Here is a 20,989-nt window from a genome sequence, read left to right as displayed (position 1 = left end):
TTGAATTCTTTTTGTTACTGAGTTGTAGGAGTCCTTGGTATTATTCTGGATACATGTATTTTATAAAATAAATATATTTGGAAAAAAATTTTTTTTCTTCTGTTTTTTTTTTAAAAGAAAAAATAGGCTGGACGTGGTGGCTCACGCCTGTAATCCCAGCACTTTGGGAGGCCAAGGCGGATGGATCACCTAAGGTCAGGAGTTGGAGACCAGCCTGACCAACGTGGCGAAACCCCGTCTCTACTAAATACAAAAAAAATAAGCCGGGCATGGTGGCTGGCACCTGTAATCCCAGCTACTCTGGAGGCTGAGGCAGGAGAATCGCTTGAACCTGGGAGGTGGAGGTTGCAGTGAGCGGAGATTGCGCCATTGCGCTCCAGCCTGGGCAGCAAGAGCAACGCTCTGTCTCAAAAAAAAGAAAAAGGAAATACAGGTGGGTCTCAATATGTTGCCCAGGCTGGTCTCGAACTCCTGGGTTCAAGCAGTACTCCCACCTCAGCTTCCCAAAGTACTGGGATTATAGGCATGAGCCATTGTGCCTGGCCGGAAGATTTTCTTTCAGACTGATTTGTCTTTTCATTTTCTTAATGTTTTGTTTTGTTTTCCTAATATTACTTTTGAAAAGTACAAGATTTTAATTTTTATAAGTCCTATTTATTATTTGCTTCTCTTGTGATTAATAGTTTTTGTGTATTTAAGGAATCTTTGCCCACCAAAATTACAAAGATATTTTCCTACATTTCCTTCTAGAATCTTTTCAGTTTTAGCTTTTATTTTTTAGGCCTGTGATTCATTTTGAATTAATTTTGTATATGGTGTTAGATGTGGGTTAAAGAATTATCAACTTCCTGACTTTAAGACATTAAAATGCTGCAATAATCAAGGCAGTATGGTTTGGTATATAAACAAATGGGCTAACAGAGATCAGTGAAATAGAAGATAGTCCAGAAATAGAACCACATAGTAGATTTTTCAAGAAGGTACCAAATTATTCTGATGGGAAAAACAAGATTTTTTAACAAATTATGCTGAAATAATTTTTTGTTTGTGTGGAAATAAATGAGCCTTGACCCCTTTTCATTGCATACACAAAAATTAAGATAGATCATAATGTAAAACTGGAAATATTCTTAACCCCCATTTCACTGGATGAGAATTTAATTGGTTAGCTTCAAGGGAAAGTAACCCTGAATTGCTAGGCTTTTATCGAACAGGAGAAACAGTGGATACCCATAGTTGACTTTTCTGTTTATTTTTGCAAGAAAACCTTATTTATGTTAAATTATTTTTTCTTTACATATATTGCACCTAATATTTAAGAAAGCTTTTGGTTTATAGAAGAACACAATGAACATTAACAAATAGAAAGGTCCAGGCACGGTGGTACGTGCCTGTAATCCTAGCACTTTGGGAGGCCAAGATGGGAGGATGGCACTAGTCCAGGAGTTGGAGACCAACGTGGGCAACATAGTAAGACCCCATCTCTACAAAACAATTTTTTTAATTAGCCAGATATGGTGGTTGTACACTCGTAGTTCTAGCTCCTCAGGAGACTGAGGTGAGTGAGCTATGATTGCACCATTACACTCCACCCTGGGCAACAGAATGAGACTATCTTTAACAAAACGAAATTTAAAAAGACTTAATATTGTTAAATTGTCTTTTCAAAGACAGTTACATGACAAAAGTAACCTACTGACCTTCTAATTTGGAAATAAAAACTATATTAAGTCTTAATATTTTCCAAGCCTTTTTTATTTCTTAAATGGATGATTTAGGCTGGGTGTGGTGGCTCATGTCTGTAATCCATGACATTGGGAGGCCAAGGCGGGCGGATCACTTGAGTTCAGGAGTTCGAGACCAGCCTGGCCAACATAGTGAAACCCTGTCTCTACTAAAAAGGCAAAAATTAGGCAGGCGTGGTGTTGTGTGCCTGTAATCCCAACTACTCGGGAGGCTGAGGAAAGAGAATCACTTGAACCTGGGAGGTGGAGGTTGCAGTGGGCCGAGATCATGCCACTGCACTCCAGCCTGGGCAACAGAGCAAGACTCTGTCTCAACAACAACAACAAAAAAAGGATGATTTACCTGTGTCTGAGTTCTTGCTAAGTTAAAGGTTGTGAGCTCATAAGCTTCAGAGAAATACCATAATGCTTATCCTCCAAAAAGCGTAAGAATTACACGTAGATTATAAATTTTTTACTACTAAATAGGCACCAAAAGAGGAGGTAAAAATGAAGAAATAAGCCAGGCAGGGTGCCTCACGCCTGTAATCCCAGCACTTTAGGAGGCCAAGGGTGGCAGATCACCTGAGGTCAGAAGTTCGAGACCAGCCTGGCCAACATGGTGAAACTCCGTTTCTACAAAAAATACAAAAAGTTAGCCAGGCCGTGGTGGTGAACACCTGTAATCCCAGCTACTCAGGAGGCTGAGGCAAGAGAATCGCTTGAACCTGGGAGGCGGAGGTTGCAGTGAGCCGAGATCACGCCACTGTACTCCAGCCTGGGTGACAGAGCAAGACTCCATCTCAAAAACAAAAGAAGAAATATGCATAGTCAAACTAGGCAGACATACACCTATACATATGGTTTTTTTTTTTTTTTTTTTTTTTTTTTGAGACAGAGTCTCTCTCTGTCACCCAGGCTGGACGATCTCAGCTCACTATAACCTCCACCTCCCGCTTCAAGCGATTCTCCTGCCTCAGCCTCCCAAGTAGCTGGGATTACAGGTGCGCATCACCATGCCCTGCTAATTTTTGTATTTTTGGTAGAGACGGACGGGGTTTCACCATGTTGGCCAGACTGGTCTTGAACTCCTGACTTCAGGTAATCTGCCTGCCTCGGCTCCCAAAGTGTTGGGAATACAGGTGTGAGCTACCACGCCTGGCCTAGATTTTCTTAAATAACTTGCTTGCTATTCTGATCCCTAGAATAAAGTGCTCATTCTACCATGTGTATTTCAGTAATACAGAGTAACTCAGTGGGGCACAGTGGCTCACACCTGTAACCCCAGTACTTTGGGAGGCAGAGGCAAGAGGATTGCTTGAGCCCAGGAGTTGGAGAGCAGCCTGGGCAACATAGTGAGACCCCATCTCTACAAAAAATTAAAAATTAGCAGGCATGGTGACACATGGCTGTAGTCCCAGCTGTTTGGGAGCCTGAGGTGAAAGGATGGCCTGAGCTTGGGAGGTCAAGACTGCAGTGAGCTGTGATTATGACATTGCACTCCAGCCTGGGTGACAGAGCAAGACCTTGTCTCAAAAAAAAAAAAAAAATAGGCTGGGTGTGGTGGCTCACGCCTGTAATCCCAGCACTTTGGAAGGCCAAGGCGGGTCAGGAGATCAAGACCATCCTGGCTAACACGGTGAAACCCTGTCTCTACTAAACATACAAAAAATTAGCCGGGCGTGGTGGCAGGCACCTGTAGTCCCAACTACCCTGGAGGCTGAGACAGGAGAATGGCGAGAACTTGGGAGGCGGAGCTTGCAGTGAGCCGAGATCATGCCACTGCACTCCAGCCTGGGGGACAGTGCGAGACTCTGTCTCAAAAAAAAAAAAAAAAAAGAAAAAGTAACTCATAAACAGTTGGCAAAGGCCGGGCGAGGTGTCTCATGCCTGTGGAGGCTGAGGCGAGTGGATCGCTTGAGCTCAGGAGTTTGAGACCAGCCTGGGCAACATGGTGAGCCCCTGTCTCTACAAAAAATTAGCCAGGTGTGGTGACACATACCTGTAGTCCCAGCTGCTTGGGCGGCTGAGGCAGGAGAATCGCTTGAACCTGGGAGGCGGAGGTTGCAGTGAGCCAAGATGGTGCCACTGCACTCCAGCCTGGGTGACAGTGTGAGACTGTCTCAAAAATTATATGTTAGCCAGGCATGGTGGTTCATACCAGTAGTCCCAGGTACTTGGAAAGCTGAGGTGGGAGGATCACTTGAGCCCAGGAGGCAGAGGTTGCAGTGAGCCGAGATCACGTCACTGCACTTCAACCTGAGCAACGGAGTAAGACCCTGTCTCAAAAAATAATAAATTAATTAATAGTTGCCAAATATAGGCATGATATTTCTGTATAATCAGAATGTTTTACATTTTATAAATGTGCTTCCCCACTCCACCCCAAACACATGAGTATTTTCAAGTGATAAGTGACAGCCTTCTGAAAAGGCCAACACATAAGAAAAAAACTGAAATCTTGCACTTAGTAGCTTATTGCTGAATAACATACACGTCATAAAATGTAGACAGAATCTTGATCTAAGCCAGTGCTTCTCAATCAGGGATGATTTTTGTCCCCATGGGGACATTTGGCAATGTCTAGAAACATCTGTGACTCACACCTGAGGGGTGCTGCTGGACTCTAGTGGATAGAGTCCAGAGGTGCTGCTAAACATCTGCAGTGCACAGCACAGTTCTCACAACAAATAATCATCTTGTCCAAGAAATCCTGCAACTAAAGATAAGTGGATGGGTGTTGAGTGTGTATGGTGAGCATGGTAAGAGGAAGGAAAGCAAAATTTTCATCTTCCTCATTGAGAAGTCAATTGATGATACCTAAAGCTGGGAGGAAAAAAAAGTCAGTAAATAGTGATACAAACAAGTAACTTTGAGATTTGGAAATAACCGAAGAATCAGCTAGAAAAGTTATGTAAGTGCTGGGCATGGTGGTGTGCACCTACAATACTAGCTACTAGAAAGACTGAGGCGAGAGGGTCAATTGAGCCCAGGCGTTTGAGGCTACAGTGCACTAGGATCATACCTGTGAATAGCCACTGTACTCCTCCTGGGCAACAAAGCAAGGCCTTGTCTCAAAAAAATTGTTTGCCAGGCGTAATGGCTTATGTCTGTAATCCCAGCACTTTGGGAAGCTGAGGCAAGAGGATTGCTTGAGCCCAGGAGTTCAAGACCAACCTCAGCAACATGGTGAGACCCCTGTCTCTACAAAAAAAACTTAAAAATTAGCTGGCGTGGCATGCCCCTGTGGTCCCAGCTACTTGGGAGGCTGAGCTCGGAGGATCACTTGAGCCTGGGAGGTCACGGCTGCGAGTGAGTGAACCATGATTTCATCACTGCACTCCGGCCTGAATGACAGAGCGAGACTATCTCAAAATATATTTATTTTTTTTAATGGTATATATTTAAAAAATTGTTTTATTTTTATTTTAAAAGGTTGTAAGTGGTTAGCTTCTGGTAAAGGGGAAATGGGTAGAGGTGGTAAGGGACTCCTATTTGTTTTAATTAACCTGGCATGACTAGTTGGTGTTTTATACTAAATGTATCTGGTTTTTTTTGTTTTGTTTTGTTTGTTGGAGACAGGGTCTCTCCCTCTGTCACCCAGGCTGCTGTGCAGTGGCTTGAGCTCTGCTCACTGCAACTTCCAGCTCAAGTGATCCTCCCACCTTAGCCTCCTGAGTAGCTGGGACTGCAGGCATGTGCCACCACACTCGGCTAGGTGATAGGAATTTTTCAGCTCCATTATACTCTTAGGGGACCACCGCCTTATATGCCATCCATCATTGAAAGTCAAACTCATTGTGTTGAAAACTGAACCTCCAAACCTGGTTTCCTTTGTTTCCCATATCAGTAAATGAAGCCACCATCCACCCAAATGCCCATTCAGAAACTTAGGGTCATTGTTTACTCTTCTTTCTTCCTTAGCCCCTAGAGCCAATCAATTACCAACTAATCCAAATTCTACTTCCTGAGCACTTCTCAACTCCTATCTCTACTGCTATAATCCTAGACATAGCTAACATCATCTTTTGCCAGAATTACTACTATAGTTTCTTGACTGATCTCTGTGCCTCTTCCTTCCTTACATAAGGTTGGGAATTCATAATACAATTAGAGCAATCTTTCCAAAGTACAAATTTGATCATGTCACATCTCTGCATTTATTTATTGGATCATATCACATCTCTGCATTGATTGATTGATTGGAGACAGAGTCTCACTCTGTCTCCCAGGCTGGAGTGCAATGGCACGATCTCAGCTCACTGCAACCTCCACCTCCCAGGTTCAAGCGATTCTCCTGCCTCAGCCTCCTGAGTAGCTGGGATTACAGGTGCGCGCCACCACTCCTGGCTAATTTTTGTATTTTTAGTAGAAACAGGGTTTCACCATGTTGGCCAGGCTGGTCTTGAACTCCTGACCTCAGGTGATCCACCCGCCTTGGCCTCTCAAAGTCCTGGGATTACAGGCGTGAGCCACCGCACCTGGCCCACACCTCTGCATTTTTTACTTTAAAGCTGCCACATTACTTTCAGAATGAAACAGAACAAGTCCATTTTTATTTTCTTTCACTGCATTGCATATGGTACTCAAGTTGTGTTGTGTATAGCTAATAGGATGCCATTCACATTTTATACATCTTTTTTTTTTTTTTTTTTTTTTTGAGATGGAGTCTCGCTCTGTCGCCCAGGCTGGAGTGCAGTGGCGCAATCTCGGCTCACTGCAATCTCCGCCTCCCGGGTTCATGCCATTCTCTTGCCTCAGCCTCCCGAGTAGCTGGGACTACAGGCGCCCACCACTACGCCTGGCTAACTTTCTGTATTTTTAGTAGAGACGGGGTTTCACCATGGTCTCGATCTCCTGACCTCGTGATCCGCCCGCCTCAGCCTCCCAAAGTGCTGGGATTACAGGCGTGAGCCACCGTGCCCAGCCCACATTTTATACATCTTTATTATGTTAAATCTTTTTAGTTTTTTTATTATAATTTTATTGACACCAAAATAGGTAATGTGTCTTTATTACAACATATTTCAGTAAATGGTAGTAAAATGTTCAAAAACAAAATAAAAATTAAATTTCTGACAGATATGGTGACCTCATCTAACAATGTTAATAAACATACATACTACTTTGAATTTACAGTGTTAATCTAGCAACATCTAAATGGTCTGTTTTTGAGCAAGGAGCTGCTTTTTAAGCACATTGTTTCAATTAAAATCAAATTTTAAAAATGTTCTTTGTATTAGTGGATTAAAATAGTATGCTTAGTTCTCACTTTAAATCCCTAAGTATTTATGACCTATTTAAAAAGTAATCACTTGTCATTAATAATTGATGAACAAAGTATTATGTATACCTGAATTAGAGCTCTCTCTTCATATTTGTGTGTGTTTGGGCCCATGTATTGAAGGAATTATTTATGAAAATTTCACCATTAAAGTTAATTGCTGTTAAATTTTAGTGACTTTCACATTAATTTTTATAAACACTTTATTGAGATGTAATTAACATGCCCTAAAATTCACCAATCTTAGAACATTTTCATCATCCCCAAAATAAACCCCCTATTTATTAACAGTTCCCCTTTCAACTCCAACTCCTCCAAAGTTCTAGGCAACTGTTAGTCTATCTTCTGCCTATAAATTTGCCTCTTCTGTAACATTTCACATAAATAGAATCACACAAGTACTTCGCAACTAGTTTATTCATGTGTCATACTATTTTCAATTTTTTCCCATGTTGTAGCATACATCAGAACTTCATTTGTTTTTATCCATTGCATGGATAATACTGTATTTTTATCTATTCTTTCATCTGTGATGGGACATTTGAGTTGTTTCTACTTTTTGGCTATTATGAGTAATATTACCATGAACATTTGGGTCTAAGTTTTTGTGTGGACACAGTTTTTTTTTTTTTTTTTTAACGAGACGGAGTCTCCCTCCTGTCGCCCAGGCTGGAGTGCAGTGGCGAGATCTTGGCTCACTGCAACCTCTGTCTCCCGTGTTCAAGCAGTGTTCTGCCTCAGCCTCCCGAGTAGCTGGGATTACAGGTGCCCGCCACCATGCCCAGCTAATTTTTGTATTTTTAGTAGAATCAGGTTTTCACCATCTTGGTTAGGCCGGTCTCGAACTCCTGACCTCGTGATCCCCCCACCTCGGCCTCCCAAAGTGCTGAGATTACAGGCGTGCGCCACCATGCCTGGCCTGTGTGTCCATATATTTTTATTTCTTTTGGGTATATACCTTGGAGTGGAATTGCTGGGTCATAGGGTAACTCTGTTTAAATTTTGACAAACTTCCAGTTTCATTTTTTTGTTTTTTGTTTTTTGAGACGGAGTCTCGCACTGTTGCCCAGGCTGGTGTGCAGTAGCATGATCTCAGCTGGCTGCAACCTCCGCCTCCCAGGTTCAAGCAATTCTCCTGCCTCAGCCTCCCGAGTAGTTTGAATTACAGGCGCCTGCCACCATACCCATCTAATTTATTTTTTTGTTTCTTGTTTTTTGTTTTTTTGAGCCAGACAGTTTTCAAAAGTGGCTACACCACTTTACATTTCCCACCAGGATCTTAGAGAGGTTCCAGTTTCTCCACATCTTTGCCAAGACTTTTGTTCTCTCTTTTTTTTTTTTTTTTTTTAAGCATGGAGTCTTGCTCTGTTGCCCAGGCTGGAGTACAATGGCATGATCTCAGCTCACTGCCACCTCCGACTCCAGGGTTCAAGTGAGGTCTCTTGTGTCTCAATCTCCAGAGTAGCTGGGATTACCAGTACCTGCCCCACCACTCCCAGCTAAATTTTGTATTTTTAGCAGAGACGGGGTTTCGCCATATTTGCCACGCTGGTTTCAAACCCCTGACCTCAACTGATCCACCCGCCTTGGCCTCCCAAAGTGCTGGGATTATAGGCATGTGTCACCACACCCAGCCTCATTCTCTATTATAGTCATCCTCTTGGATATGAAGTGGTATGTTGTCACCTTTTTTTTTCTTCTTCTTTTGGGACTTGTCACCTTTTTTTTTTTCTTCTTCTTCTTCTTTTGGGACAGGGTCTCACTCTTTCGCCCAGACTGGAGTGCAGTGGCGCGATCTCAGCTCAGCTCAACCTCTGCCTCCTGGGTTCAGGCGATTCTCCTGCCTCAGCCTCCAGAGGAGCTGGGATTACAGGCGCATGCCACTGTGGCCCGGCTAATTTTTGTATTTTTAGTAGAGACAGGGTTTCACCATATTGGCCAGACTTGTTCTCGAACTCCTGACCTCAAATGATCCATCCACCTTGGCCTCCCAAAGTGCTGGGATTACAGGCATGAACCACCGCACCCGACCGTCGTCGTCTTTTTGATTGGCATTTCTTTGATGCCTAATGATGAGCATGTGCTTATTGAGCATTTGAATATACATTAATTTTTAAAAGTTTAACCTAAAATAAAATTATAATCCTCTTTGTCCTCAGATGATGGAAACAAAATCAAAAAAATTAACAGCATCAGAAAATAGAAAAAGGAATGCTTTTAGAGAAGAAAATGAGAAACAATTATATGGATCGTCAAATACACTTTTGAAAAAAATAGAGGGAATCCCAGAAAAAAAGGAAAAGACTTCACAGCTACAGCTTTCAGTAGAATGTGGCACGGATACATTACTGATCCAAGAGAATGTGAATTTACCTCCTTCTTCCACGTCAACCATAGCTGATACATTTCAAGAGCAACTGGAAGAGAAAAATTTTGAAGACTCCATTGTACCAGTTGTGCTTTCCGCAGATCCAGGTACGTGGCCCCGAATTTTGAATATTAAACAACGGGACACTCTTGTTGAAAATGTTCCGCCTCAAGTAAGAAATTTTAACTTTCCAAAAGATAATACAGGGAGGAAGTTTTCAGAAACTTATTATACACGGATTCTTCCAAATGGTGAAAAAACCACTAGATCCTGGTTACTTTATTCAACCTCAAAAGATTCTGTGTTTTGTCTATATTGCAAACTCTTTGGGGAAGGAAAAAATCAACTGAAAAATGAAAATGGGTGCAAAGATTGGCAACATTTATCACATATTCTTAGTAAACATGAAGAAAGTGAAATGCACGTCAACAATAGTGTTAAGTACTCAAAATTAAAATCTGATCTGAAAAAAAATAAAGCTATTGATGCTGCAGAACACAGATTATATGAAAATGAGAAAAATGATGGTGTGCTGTTGTTGTACACGTAATATACCTGAGTTGTTTTTTGGCATGATGATCAGAATCTTACATTACTCAGAAAACATCTGTCCTGCAATAGTCAGTACTATTGTGTTGTAAGTCTCCTCTACAGAGTAACTTGCAGCAGTTCCTTAGCAATAAGTATGATAGCAAATAAATAGCAAAGAATGTTTCCATTCTAAATCTAAAACTAATTAGATTCAATCATCATTAGGCAATGACTTCATTAGGCAATGAAGATTAACAATAGGTAATTGTTAATCTTCAAAATCTATCAATTTACACCTATTTAAAAATTGGCATTTAATGACTGCCATTTGATGGGTTTGGTTAATATTCTGTTCTTGGCCGGGCGCAATGGCTCACGCCTGTAATCCAAGAACTTTGGGAGGCTCAGGCGGGTAGATCAATTGAGGTCAGAAGTTCAAGACCAGCCTGGCCAACGTGGCAAAACCTCGTCTTTACTAAAAATACAAAAATTAGCCAGGTGTGGTGGCACACACCTGTAGTCCCAGCTACTCAGGAGGCTGAGGCAGGAGAATCGCTTGAACCCAGGAGGCAGAGGTTGCAGTGAGCTGAGATTGCACCACTGCAGTCCAGCCTGAGCAACAGAGCGAGAGTCAGTCTCAAAAGAAAGAAAAATATTATGTTCTAATTACCTTGAAAGAGGAAAGAAAGGCTTGAATTGATCAATACCAGTTTGAATAAGATACTTATGTGAACAAGCATTCTCAACATTATTATTAAAGTAAAACTACTCAGTTTACAGAATGGGATCTGAAACTACAGCTTTTTGCTATTAAACCAAATACTTGTGATCTACTTTGTTTGAGCAAAACAGCATTATTTGTTATGTTAATGATGGTTAATTTCCATTTTATTGGTTTTATGTTTATTTTAATTTGTAAATGTTTTAGCATTTATTATTGTATGTGAACTATATTTACCTATTTTATGTTGATAAAAATATAAAAAATATTAAAATAAGTATATATTAAGTTAACCTTCAAGTGTTATGGGCTTTTTTCTCCCTGTGAAAAGAGATGGCATGCTTGAAATTTGAGATACACCAATGAAAATTAAGGATTTAAGTTATTTTAGATGGTCAGCAGCCCCATCACTGTGTATTTAGTAAATCTCCCTTCTGTTTCTGATTTCTGATGTCAATTTTGTAATATATTAAATTTTTATATACTATTCCTGTGAAACAAAATGGCATATGAGCAGTGACTAGGACAGAAGGTGCGTTCTTGTGGGATGACACTAGGAATACTTGCAGACTCTCAATGATACCAGTGTATATATTTTTGGAATACCCGTGAAAGTAATCCTCATTAACTTCTAACCATTTTGAGTGTTTGTTTGTTTGTTTGTTTTAAATAAAGATGGGGTCTACTATGTTGTCCAAGCTGATCTTCAACTCCTGGTCTCAAGCGATTCTCCCACCTCAGCCTCTCAAAGTGCTGGAATTACAGACTTGAGCTACTATGCCCAGCCACCATTTTGGTTTTTGACAACTAGATCATTTAGTATTTTCAGACATGGATCTGAATGTGGCTTTGGGACATTTCCAAAAATCCAGTTTGCTCTAGAAGCCCAGAGAATACTCTAGAGACTGTAGAACAAGTTTTGAAATTTGTTTGCAAATTATCAGCGTACTTATTATTTCAGGCTGGGCACAGTGGCTCATGCTTGTAATCCCAGCACTTTGGGAGGCCGAGTGGGGTGGATCACTTGAGGTCAGGGATTCAAGACCAGCCTGGCCAACATAGTGAAACCCCATCTCTATTAAAGTACAAAAATTAGCAGGGCGTGGTGGCACATGCCTGTAATCCCAGCTGCTTGGGAGGCTGAGGCATGAGAATTGCTTAAACCCAGGAGGCAGAGGTTGCAGTGAGCCGAGAACATGCTACTGCACTAGAGCCTGGGTGACAGAGCGAGACGCTGTCTCTAAAATAAGTAAACAAATATACTCATTATTTCATTAAAGCTTGCCAATCAACTGAATCACAGATTCATAGTATAATTAGACCCTTTTGTATTTGAGCAAACTACTGAAATCAATCAGTGGCTGTTTAAGATAATTTGGCATAACCATCAGATTTATCAATTTAAAAAATAAAATTAGATCCTCACCTTAAATTCATTTATTTCATCAGCATACTGCACACCTAGAAGGCACCATCAATTCCACACATAGCAATTAAAGGTAAAAAATTCAAAAGATATAGGTGTTTCATTGACCTGTGTTCATTGTAAATAGCTTTCAAATTTTCATTATGTTTGACATCTTTCATAATACAGTGTTAGATGATCCGGGCTCAGTGACATATACCCATAGTCCCTACTACTTGGTAGGCTGAGGGAGGATCCCTGGAGCCCAGGAGTTGGAGTCCAGACGAGGCAACGTAATAAAACCCCAACCCTTAGAAAAAAAAAATCAACTAAATTAAGAAGAGAAGATAAAAATGCAAGTATCTCTATATGGGAATAATTAAATTTTTTTCCTTTTCTAGTTTTTAATTTTTAATATTTATTTATTTATTTATTTTGAGGCAGAGTTTTGCTCTTGTTGCCCAGGCTGGAATGCAGTGGCACGATCTTGCCTCCCTGGTTCAAGCAATTCTCCTGCCTTAGCCTCCCGAGTAGCTGGGATTATAGGTGCCCACCACCGTGCCTGGCTAATTTTTTGTATTTTTAGTAGAGATGGGGTTTCACCATATTGGCCAGGCTGGTCTCGAACTCCTGACCTCAGGTGATCCGCCCGCCTCGGCCTCCCAGAGTGCTGGGATTACAGGCGTGAGCCACCATGCCCGGCCTAATTTTTATTTTTTTAACATTGTAAAATTAATGTGGTCGGCCACAGTGACTCACGCCTGTAATGCTAGCACTTTGGGAGGCCGAGGCGGGCAGATCACGAGGTCAGGAGATCAAGACCATCCTGGCCAACGTGGTGAAATCCCGTCTCTACTAAAAATACAAAAATTAGCTGGGTGTGGTAGTGCACGCCTGTAGTCCCAGCTACTCGGGAGGCTGAGGCAGGAGAATCACTTGAACCAGGGTGTTGGAGGTTGCATGAGCTGAGATTGCACTATCACACTCCAGCCTGGTGACAGAGCAAGGCTCCGTCTCCAAAAAAAAAAATTATTGTGTGCTCACTATAAGGAAGGAAGGGAGAAAACATAGATGTGAAAGTCCTATTTACCATCCTTCACCTCCCCAGCTGCAGGAACTGTCATCACTGATCTGGACTGTACCCAGGGTTTCTTTTCATCTTTTTAACTACTTCACTGGGAAAAGTCATTAGAAAAAAATTATCTCCTACTACTAATTTTATATCAAAAATTAGAAAGGATAATCTAAATAGTCTTGGAGAGAATGGCAATGCCAATTAATATTGACTTACTGGTTTTCTCATCTCACTGAGGACAAGTGAGATGGTTCTCATAAACTTCTGATTTTCAAAATTGCTATCTTTAAAATTCTTACATTGACCTATTTTCCTCTTGTGATTTCTTTGGTCCTCTCTTAGTGTCATGAGCCAGTAAGAGTTGCTAATAGCCACTTTATATATATACTATGTACAATTTGCTACATAGAATGTAAAAGTGAGGCCAGGCTCAGTGGCTCACAGCTGTAATCCCAGCACTTTGGGAAGCCAAGGCAGGCAGATCACTTGAGGTCAGGAGTTTGAGACCAGCCTGGTCAACATGGTGAAAAGCCATCTCTACTAAAAATACAAGAAAAATTCCGGGCGTGGTGGCTCACGCCTGTAATCCCAGCGCTTTGGGAGGCTGAGGCGGGTGGATCACCTGAGGAGTTCAAGACCAGCCTGGCCAACGTGGTGAAACCCTGTCTCTACTAAAAATACAAAAAATTAGCTGGGTGTGGTGGTGCAAGCCTGTAGTCCTAGTTACTCTGGAGGCTGAGGCATGAGAATCGCTTAAGCCCTGGAGGCAGAGGTTGCAGTGAGCCAAGATCATGCCATTGCACTCCAGCCCGGGCTAAAAGAGCGAAACGCCATCTCAAAAATAATAATAATAATAAAAAAATAAAATAAGCCGGGTATGGTGGCATGTGTCTGTAAATCCCAGCTACTCAGGAGGCTGAGGTGGGAGAATTGCTTGAACCTGGGAGGCAAAGGTTGCAGTGAGCCAAGATTGTGCTGCTGCACTTCAGCTTGGGTGACAGAGCAAGACTGTCTCAGAAAAAAAAGAAAAAGTAAAAATGAATATAATTGAATGGAAGATCTCAGTCAAGTTCAGTGGAAAGAATAATACTATATCTTTTTAGGTCTCATCACTCTTTTTGTCTCCAAAGCTCTGACGTTCCCCATTACTTGGAGTTTAAAATTCCTCAACTCGTTGACACAACATAAGATCTTAACATAGGCAGCTGCAATCATCAGTGGCAGATGAATAGGGAAAGGCATAGACAAAGACAATATGAAGGCACAAAATTTTAGAGCTGGAATAGTGCTGTATAACAGGGGTCCCCAAACCCCTGGCTGTGGCCTGTTAGGAACTGAGCTACACAGCAGGAGGTGAGCAACTGGCGAAGGAGCATTACTGCTGAGCTCCGCCTCCTGTCAGATCAGGGTTAGCATTCGATTTTCATAGGACTGGGAACCCTATTGTGAATGGAGGTTGCAGGCTCCCTGTGAGAATCTAATGCCTGATGATCTGAGGTGGAGCAGTTTCATCCTGAAACCACCCCTACCCCCTTCATCCATGGAAAAATTGTCTTCCATGAAACTGTCTTCCCTGGTGTCAAAAAGGTTGGGGACCACTGCTCTATAAGGTTGACTTACAGTGTGTGACCATGTTAAGGCTGAAATTAAGAATTTGAGGCTGGGCTGGGTGTGGTGGCTCATGCCTGTAATCCCAGCACTTTGGGAGGCCAAGGCAGGTGGATCCCTTGAGCCCAGGAGTTTGAGATCAGCCTAAGCAACATGGTGAAATCCCGTCTCTACAAAATATACAAAAATTAGCTAGGTGTGGTGGCACACATCTGTGATCCTAAGTACTTGGGAGGCTGAGGTGGGAGGATCACTTGAGTCCTGGAGGTTGAGGCTACAGTGAGTCATGATCGAGCCACTGCACTCCAGCCTGGGCTGGACAGAGTGTCAAAAAAAAAAAAAAAAGCTGGTCCAAGGTGAGCCAGTAAAGTAAGTCAGTTATCTCAATTGTTCACAGTCAGTTACAAATTGAACTCTCCCTCCTCTCACTACTTCACTTTGAAAAAAAAAAAAAAAAAAGTGCTGGGCTCAGTGACTCACGCCTGTAATCCCAGGACTTTGGGAGGCCAAGGCGGGTGGATTGCTTGAGGTCAGGAGTTCAAGACCAGCCTGACCAACATGGTGAAACCCCGTCTCTACTAAAAATACAAAAATTAGCCAGGCGTGGTGGTGGGCAGCCTATAATCCCAGCTACTCGGGAGGCTGAGGCAGGAGAATTGCTTGAACCTGGGAGGTGGAGGTTGCAGTGAGCCGAGATCACACCTTGCACTCCAGCCTGGGTGACAGACAGAATGAGACTCTGTCTCAAAAAAAAAAAAAAAAAAAAGAGAATTTAACTAGACTTGAAAGCAAATTTTGAGCCAATTAATAGAATCTTTGTTTTTAAGAGGGTGTGAAATTAGTTCGGGAATATAGTGGTGTTAATTTTAAATGTGGACAGTAGATTATTTTGAACTAATATCCTGGAAATCACATTTAGAGTGAAGAGCATATTAATCCAGTTTGCTTCTAAGGATAAATAAAGCCAGAGAAACCCCTGGAAAATAAGACTTAACACCTCACTCCTGTTGGTATTAAAAAGCCTTTCATAATATGTGCCTACAAATTAATAAAATTGTAAACCTTTAGCGGCCAGATGCCTGGCTGAGCCCTGGGCACAGAGATCCATGGGGCCAAGTGCGTGCTCCGGCACCCGGGCGCCTGCCATGGGCTTTGTGGGGACGTGGGCCTGCATAGCACCCTGCGGGGCATCTCATATGAGCGTGCTGCTGCATAACCGCTCACAGTGCGTCCAGAAGCTGGGGATGCGCTGCGGCCTGCAGGGGGCGCCTCCACCGCGTGCAGGATGGCCTGCTGCGACCAGCTCCAGGATCGCAGTCACCTGCTGGCTCACCGCGATCCTCGTCCTGGCGCTGTGTGAGGAGGTCACGGTCTACAGGATGGTAAGCGACAGCCGCTGCAGGGAGAGGAGCCACCCCTCGGTGCCTTACTATGACTTCCAGAAGAGCTGGCGTCATGAATGTCATCTACCCCAAATCACCCACCGTTTCATCACCAAGGAGGCATCTTCTCCCACTGGACCAAGAGGAAGCCTGTCCTGGAGGGGCAAGTAGCCTCCTTCACCACACTCCACCAAAAACATTTAATCTATGGATCCTGCCTCTGCCACATGCCAGGTGGACCTAAGATTCCTTTCTGCCCCACTCTGAGGACACTTGGAGCCGTCTCAGTCCTCAAGACTTGAAGGGGAGCGGAGGGGGTGCCCTGTCTCCACCTCCACTCTCTGAGTAATCCACAGCATTTTGGCATTCACCCCACCTCCAGGTCTGTCAAGTGGCCTTTGCCCCTGGGGCTGATGGCCCTTCCTACTCACCAGCATTATGACCGTGTGCCATTCCTGGTGCTTCCTCCCCTGGCTCCCTACTGTTGAAGGCCAAAAGAGTGAGGGTCGTGATCAACTCAGTATACTACTGGAGGCTACATAAGTAAACAGCAAACTTCATGAAAGCTGGATGTTGGCAAACTGACAAACTGTGTCTGCCACCCAGAAGGAATGCTGAGGGCGTGACGCCCCAGACACAAGTGTTTCTTGTAATTAGGCACATCTGAAGCTTGTTAGCAATAATGTTAATCTGTGATCAATTAAGCAGCTTGACCAGTCGTTACCTCCTGCTCCCTGCTCTTTCTACCCAATAAATAGGAAGGGCTGTAGAGGCTCAGGCAGCTGCCTTTGCTCACTAGAAGCAGGGACCTGTCTTCTTCCCCTGGCCCTTTCTTTAAAACAGTTTCTTTTAATTTTTCATTTCTACATTCGTCCTCCGTTCAGTCTCGTAATGACGGTCTCAAGTAGTAACAGTAGTAACTGTCATAATGACGCTCTCAAGTAGTAACTGTGGCAGTCTCTCACACCCTACCGCCCTTTGGTGCCACACTTCTCAGGTCGGTCACCGTGGTTGGGGCAGCAGAGAGTCTAGGGTTTGTTGGGTGAAGGCGCCATTGAGCTGTGACTGTCAGTGCCATATTAGGAACTTATGGATATTTCTGGAGTGGGGGCGGGGGGAGACAAAAATGAAACAAAACAAAACAAAGAGACTTGAGAAGGTATTATAAACAATTTAGGTCAAAGAATTTAAGATAGCCAGACATGGTGGCACATGCCTGTAATCCCAGCTACTCAGGAGGCTGAGGCAAGAAAATTGCTTGCATCCGGGAGACAGAGGTTGCAGTGAGCCGAGATCGGGCCACTGCACTCCAGCCTGGGCGACAGAGCGAGACTCAGTCTCAAAAAAAAAAAAAAAAAAAAGAGGCTGGGCGTGGTGGTTCACGCCTTAATCCCAGCACATTGGGAGGCCAAGGCGAGTGGATCACCTGAGGTTGGGAGTTCAAGACCAGCCTGACCTACGTGGAGAAACCCCATCTCTACTGAAAATACAAAATTAGCCAGGCGTGGTGGCGCATGCCTGTAGTTCCAGCTACTTGGGATGCTGAGGCAGGAGAATCGCTTGAACCCAGGAGGCAGAGGTTGTGGTGAGCCGAGATCGCACCATTGCACTCCAGCCTGGGCAGCAACAGCGAAATTCTGTCTCAAAAGAAGAAAAAGAAAAAGGATTTGAGAAATTTGATGGACAAATCCCTCAAAAAGACAATTTAAAAAGCACAGCAAGGCCGGGCGCGGTGGTTCACGCCTATAATCCCAGCACTTTGGGAGGCCAAGGCGGGTGGATCACAAGGTCAGGAGTTTGAGACCAGCCTGACCAATATGGTGAAACCTCGTCTCTACTAAAAATACAAAAATTAGCTTGGCATGGTGGCGCATGCCTGTAATCCCAGCTACTCAGGAGGCTGAGGCAAGAGAATCGCTTGAACCCAGGAAGCGGAGGTTGCAGTGAGTCGAGGTCTCAAAAAAAAATAAAATAAAATAAAAAAAGAAATATGTTAATGGTAGATGTAAGTAGTGGTTATAAGGATGTTGACTCTAATTTTTTTTTAATTTTTATTATTTTCTTAGAGACAGGGTCTTGCTCTGTCACCCAGGCTGGAGTGCAGTAGCATGATTATGGCTCACTGTAGCCTCAACTTCCTGAGCTGTAGCAATCCTCCCACCTCAGCCTCCTGAGTAGCTAGGACTACAGATGAGCACCACCACGCCTGGCTAATTTTTTGTTTTATTTTGGTAGAGATGGGGTCTTGCTATATTGCCCAGTTTGGCTTTGAACTCCAGGGCTCCAGTGATCCTCCTGCCTCAGCCTCCCAAAGTGCTGGGATTACAAGCATGAGCCACTGTGCCTGGCCACCAACCTGACTTTTTTTTTGAGACAGAGTCTTGCTCTGTCACCCAGACTGGAGTGCCGTGGCACAATCTCAGCTCACTGCATCCTCCACCTCATAGGTTCAAGCAATTCTCCTGTCTCAGCCTTCCTAATAGCTGGGATTATAGGTGCACACCACCATGCCTGCCTAATTTTTGTATTTTATTTATTTATTTAAATTATTTATTTTTTGAGACAATCATGCTGTGTCGCGCAGGCTGGAGTGCAGTGGCGTGATCTTGGCTCACTGTAACCTCCGCCTCCCAGGTTCAAGTGATTCTCCTGCCTCAGCCTCTCGAGTAGCTGGGATTACAGGTGCCCACCACCATGCCCATCTAATTTTTGTGGTTTTAGTAGAGACAGAGTTTTGCCATGTTGGCCAGGCTGGTCTCAATCTCCTGACCTCAGGCGATCCACCCACCTTGGCCTCCCAAAGTGCTGGGATTATAGGCATGAGCCACCGGGCCCGACCCCAACATGACTTTTAACAGCTCAAGGTCACATCCATAGGATGACCCCTAGACGCTTGCCTGAGAAAACTCAAGATCACCTAAAGAATTTACTGTTTGTTCCAGCAAACACCTCAGGCTTAGGACCCCCATCTTCCAGCCTCTGTGGGAAAGAGGGTAGGAGCCTAATTTTAATAAGCACCAGTTGGCAAACCCAACTGGGTTTCACATGGACCAACTCCCCCAGTTTCCACTTTTTGGAGTTTTTTACTTCCCTGACTCTAATGAGCCCCTGCTCACCCCCTCCTTACTCCCTCATTCTCCCTTTAAAACAACCAGTTAATTCCCATCGAAGTTTTCATTTGTTTATTTTTATTTTATTTATTTATTTTTTTTGAGATGGAGTCTTGCACTGTCACCCGGGCTCCCAGGCTAGAGTGCAGTGGTGCAATCTCGCTCACTGCAACCTCTGCCTCCTGGGTTCAAACAATTCTCCTGTCTCAGCCTCCCAAGTAGCTGGGATTATAGCCACGCGCCACCACGCCCACCTAATTTTTTTTATTTTTAGTAGAGACGGGGTTTCACCATGTTGGCCAGGCTAGTCTCGAACTCCTGACCTTGTGATTCACTCGCCTCGGCCTCCCAAAGTGCTGGGATTACAGGGGTGAGCCACCGCGCCTGGCTATTTTTGAGACTGAGTCTCCACTGTTGCCCAGGCTAGAGTTCAGTGGCATGATCTTGGCTCCCTGCAACCTCTGCCTCCCGGGTTCAAGTGATTCTCTTGCCTCAGCCTCCTGTGTAACTGGGACTGCAGGCATGTGCCACCATGCCCGGCTAATTTTTTCTTTTTTTCTTTTTTTCTTTTTTGAGACGGACTGTCACTCTTGTTGTCCAGGCTGGAGTGCAATGGCATGATCTCAGTTCACCGCAACCTCCGCCTCCCGGGTTCAAGCGATTCTCCTGCCTCAGCTTCCCGAGTAGCTGGGATTACAGGCATGCATTACCACACCCGGCTAATTTTGTATTTTTAGTAGAGACAGGGTTTCTCCATGCTCGTCAGGCTGGTCTTGAACTCCCAACCTCAGGTGATCCACCCAGCCCAGCCTCCCAAAGTGCTGAGATTCCTGGTGTGAGCCACTGTGCCAGGCCCTAATTTTTGCATTTTTAGTGGAGACGGGGTTTTGCCATGTTGGCCAGGCTGGTCTCGAACTCCTGACCTCAGGTGATCTGCCCGCCTCAGCCTCCTAGAGTGCTGGGATTACAGGCGTGAGCCACCGCAGCCGGACTGTTTATCTGTTCTGAGACAGAGTCTTGCTCTGTCACCCAGGCTGGAGTGCAGTGGTGTGATTATAACTCACTGCAGCCTGAACTCCTGGGCTCAAGGGTTCCTTCCCATCTCTCAGTTCCCTGTGTATCTGAGACTACTACTACATGCCCAGCAATTTTTTTTTTGTAGCAATGGGACTTCCTTATGTTGCTCAGGCTGGTGTTGAATTCCTGGTCTCAAGTGATCTTCCCGCATCAGCCTCCAAAAGTATTGGGATTACAGGCGTGAGCCACTGCACCAGGCCCACATTGAAGTTGAGTTCAATTTTCACTGGACTCTTTTGCATATTGCAATAGTATGTTACTGATTAAAATCTGCCCTTACCTCTTTAGTATCTGGCTTTATCTCTGATATAGCTTTTTTGAATGTTTGAAATTTTCATAAGATTGGGATAAAAATTAAAACACACACAAAAAAAATAGACACATGTACCAGCTATGTCAGAGTAACTGGTATTGGGCTTTCCTCCCCCTATAAACAAGTAGAAAACTGGGGCTGGCTGCGGTGACTCACACCTGTAATCCCAGCACTTTGGGAGGCCGAGGTGGGTGGATTACCTGAGGTCAGAAGTTTGAGACCAGCCTGACCAACATGATGAAACCCCGTCTCTAGTAAAAATACAAAAATAATAGCCGGGCGTGGTGACTCATGCCTGTAATCCCAGCACTTCAGGAAGCCGAGGCGGGCGGATCACAAGGTCAGGAGTTCGAGATCAGCCTGGCCAATATGGTGAAACCCCGTCTTTACT

The 20,989-nt window shown here is 43.9% G+C and overlaps 1 protein-coding gene and 1 pseudogene across 7 annotated transcripts in view, besides 1 other annotated feature; both read left to right on the top strand.

Annotated features, from left to right (window-relative positions):
• The window catches only part of ZMYM5 (zinc finger MYM-type containing 5), a 40,168-nt gene extending 29,247 nt beyond the window's left edge, over positions 1–10,921 (top strand). For all 7 annotated transcript variants that reach the window (XM_047430769.1, XM_005266594.4, XM_047430768.1 and 4 more), the window contains one exon: positions 9,168–10,921. In XM_047430769.1, the coding sequence (XP_047286725.1) occupies positions 9,168–9,926 (759 nt within the window). In that variant the 3' untranslated portion in view covers positions 9,927–10,921. The remainder of the gene's footprint in view (positions 1–9,167) is intronic.
• On the top strand, positions 15,792–16,221 carry ST6GALNAC4P1 (ST6 N-acetylgalactosaminide alpha-2,6-sialyltransferase 4 pseudogene 1; annotated as a pseudogene).
• Positions 15,945–16,472: an enhancer, noted in NCBI's record as "H3K4me1 hESC enhancer chr13:20392071-20392598 (GRCh37/hg19 assembly coordinates)". NCBI's record gives its function as "activates a minimal SCP1, AML or CMV promoter by ChIP-STARR-seq in primed H9 embryonic stem cells {active_cell/tissue: H9 hESC(primed)}" and the evidence as "EXISTENCE:reporter gene assay evidence [ECO:0000049][PMID:30033119]".

Source organism: Homo sapiens, chromosome 13 (assembly GCF_000001405.40).
Source record: "Homo sapiens chromosome 13, GRCh38.p14 Primary Assembly".
In the NCBI taxonomy this organism is placed as follows: Eukaryota; Metazoa; Chordata; class Mammalia; order Primates; family Hominidae; genus Homo; species Homo sapiens.
Note: the sequence above shows the minus strand (reverse complement) of the source record. Positions and strands in the feature narration are given on the sequence as shown.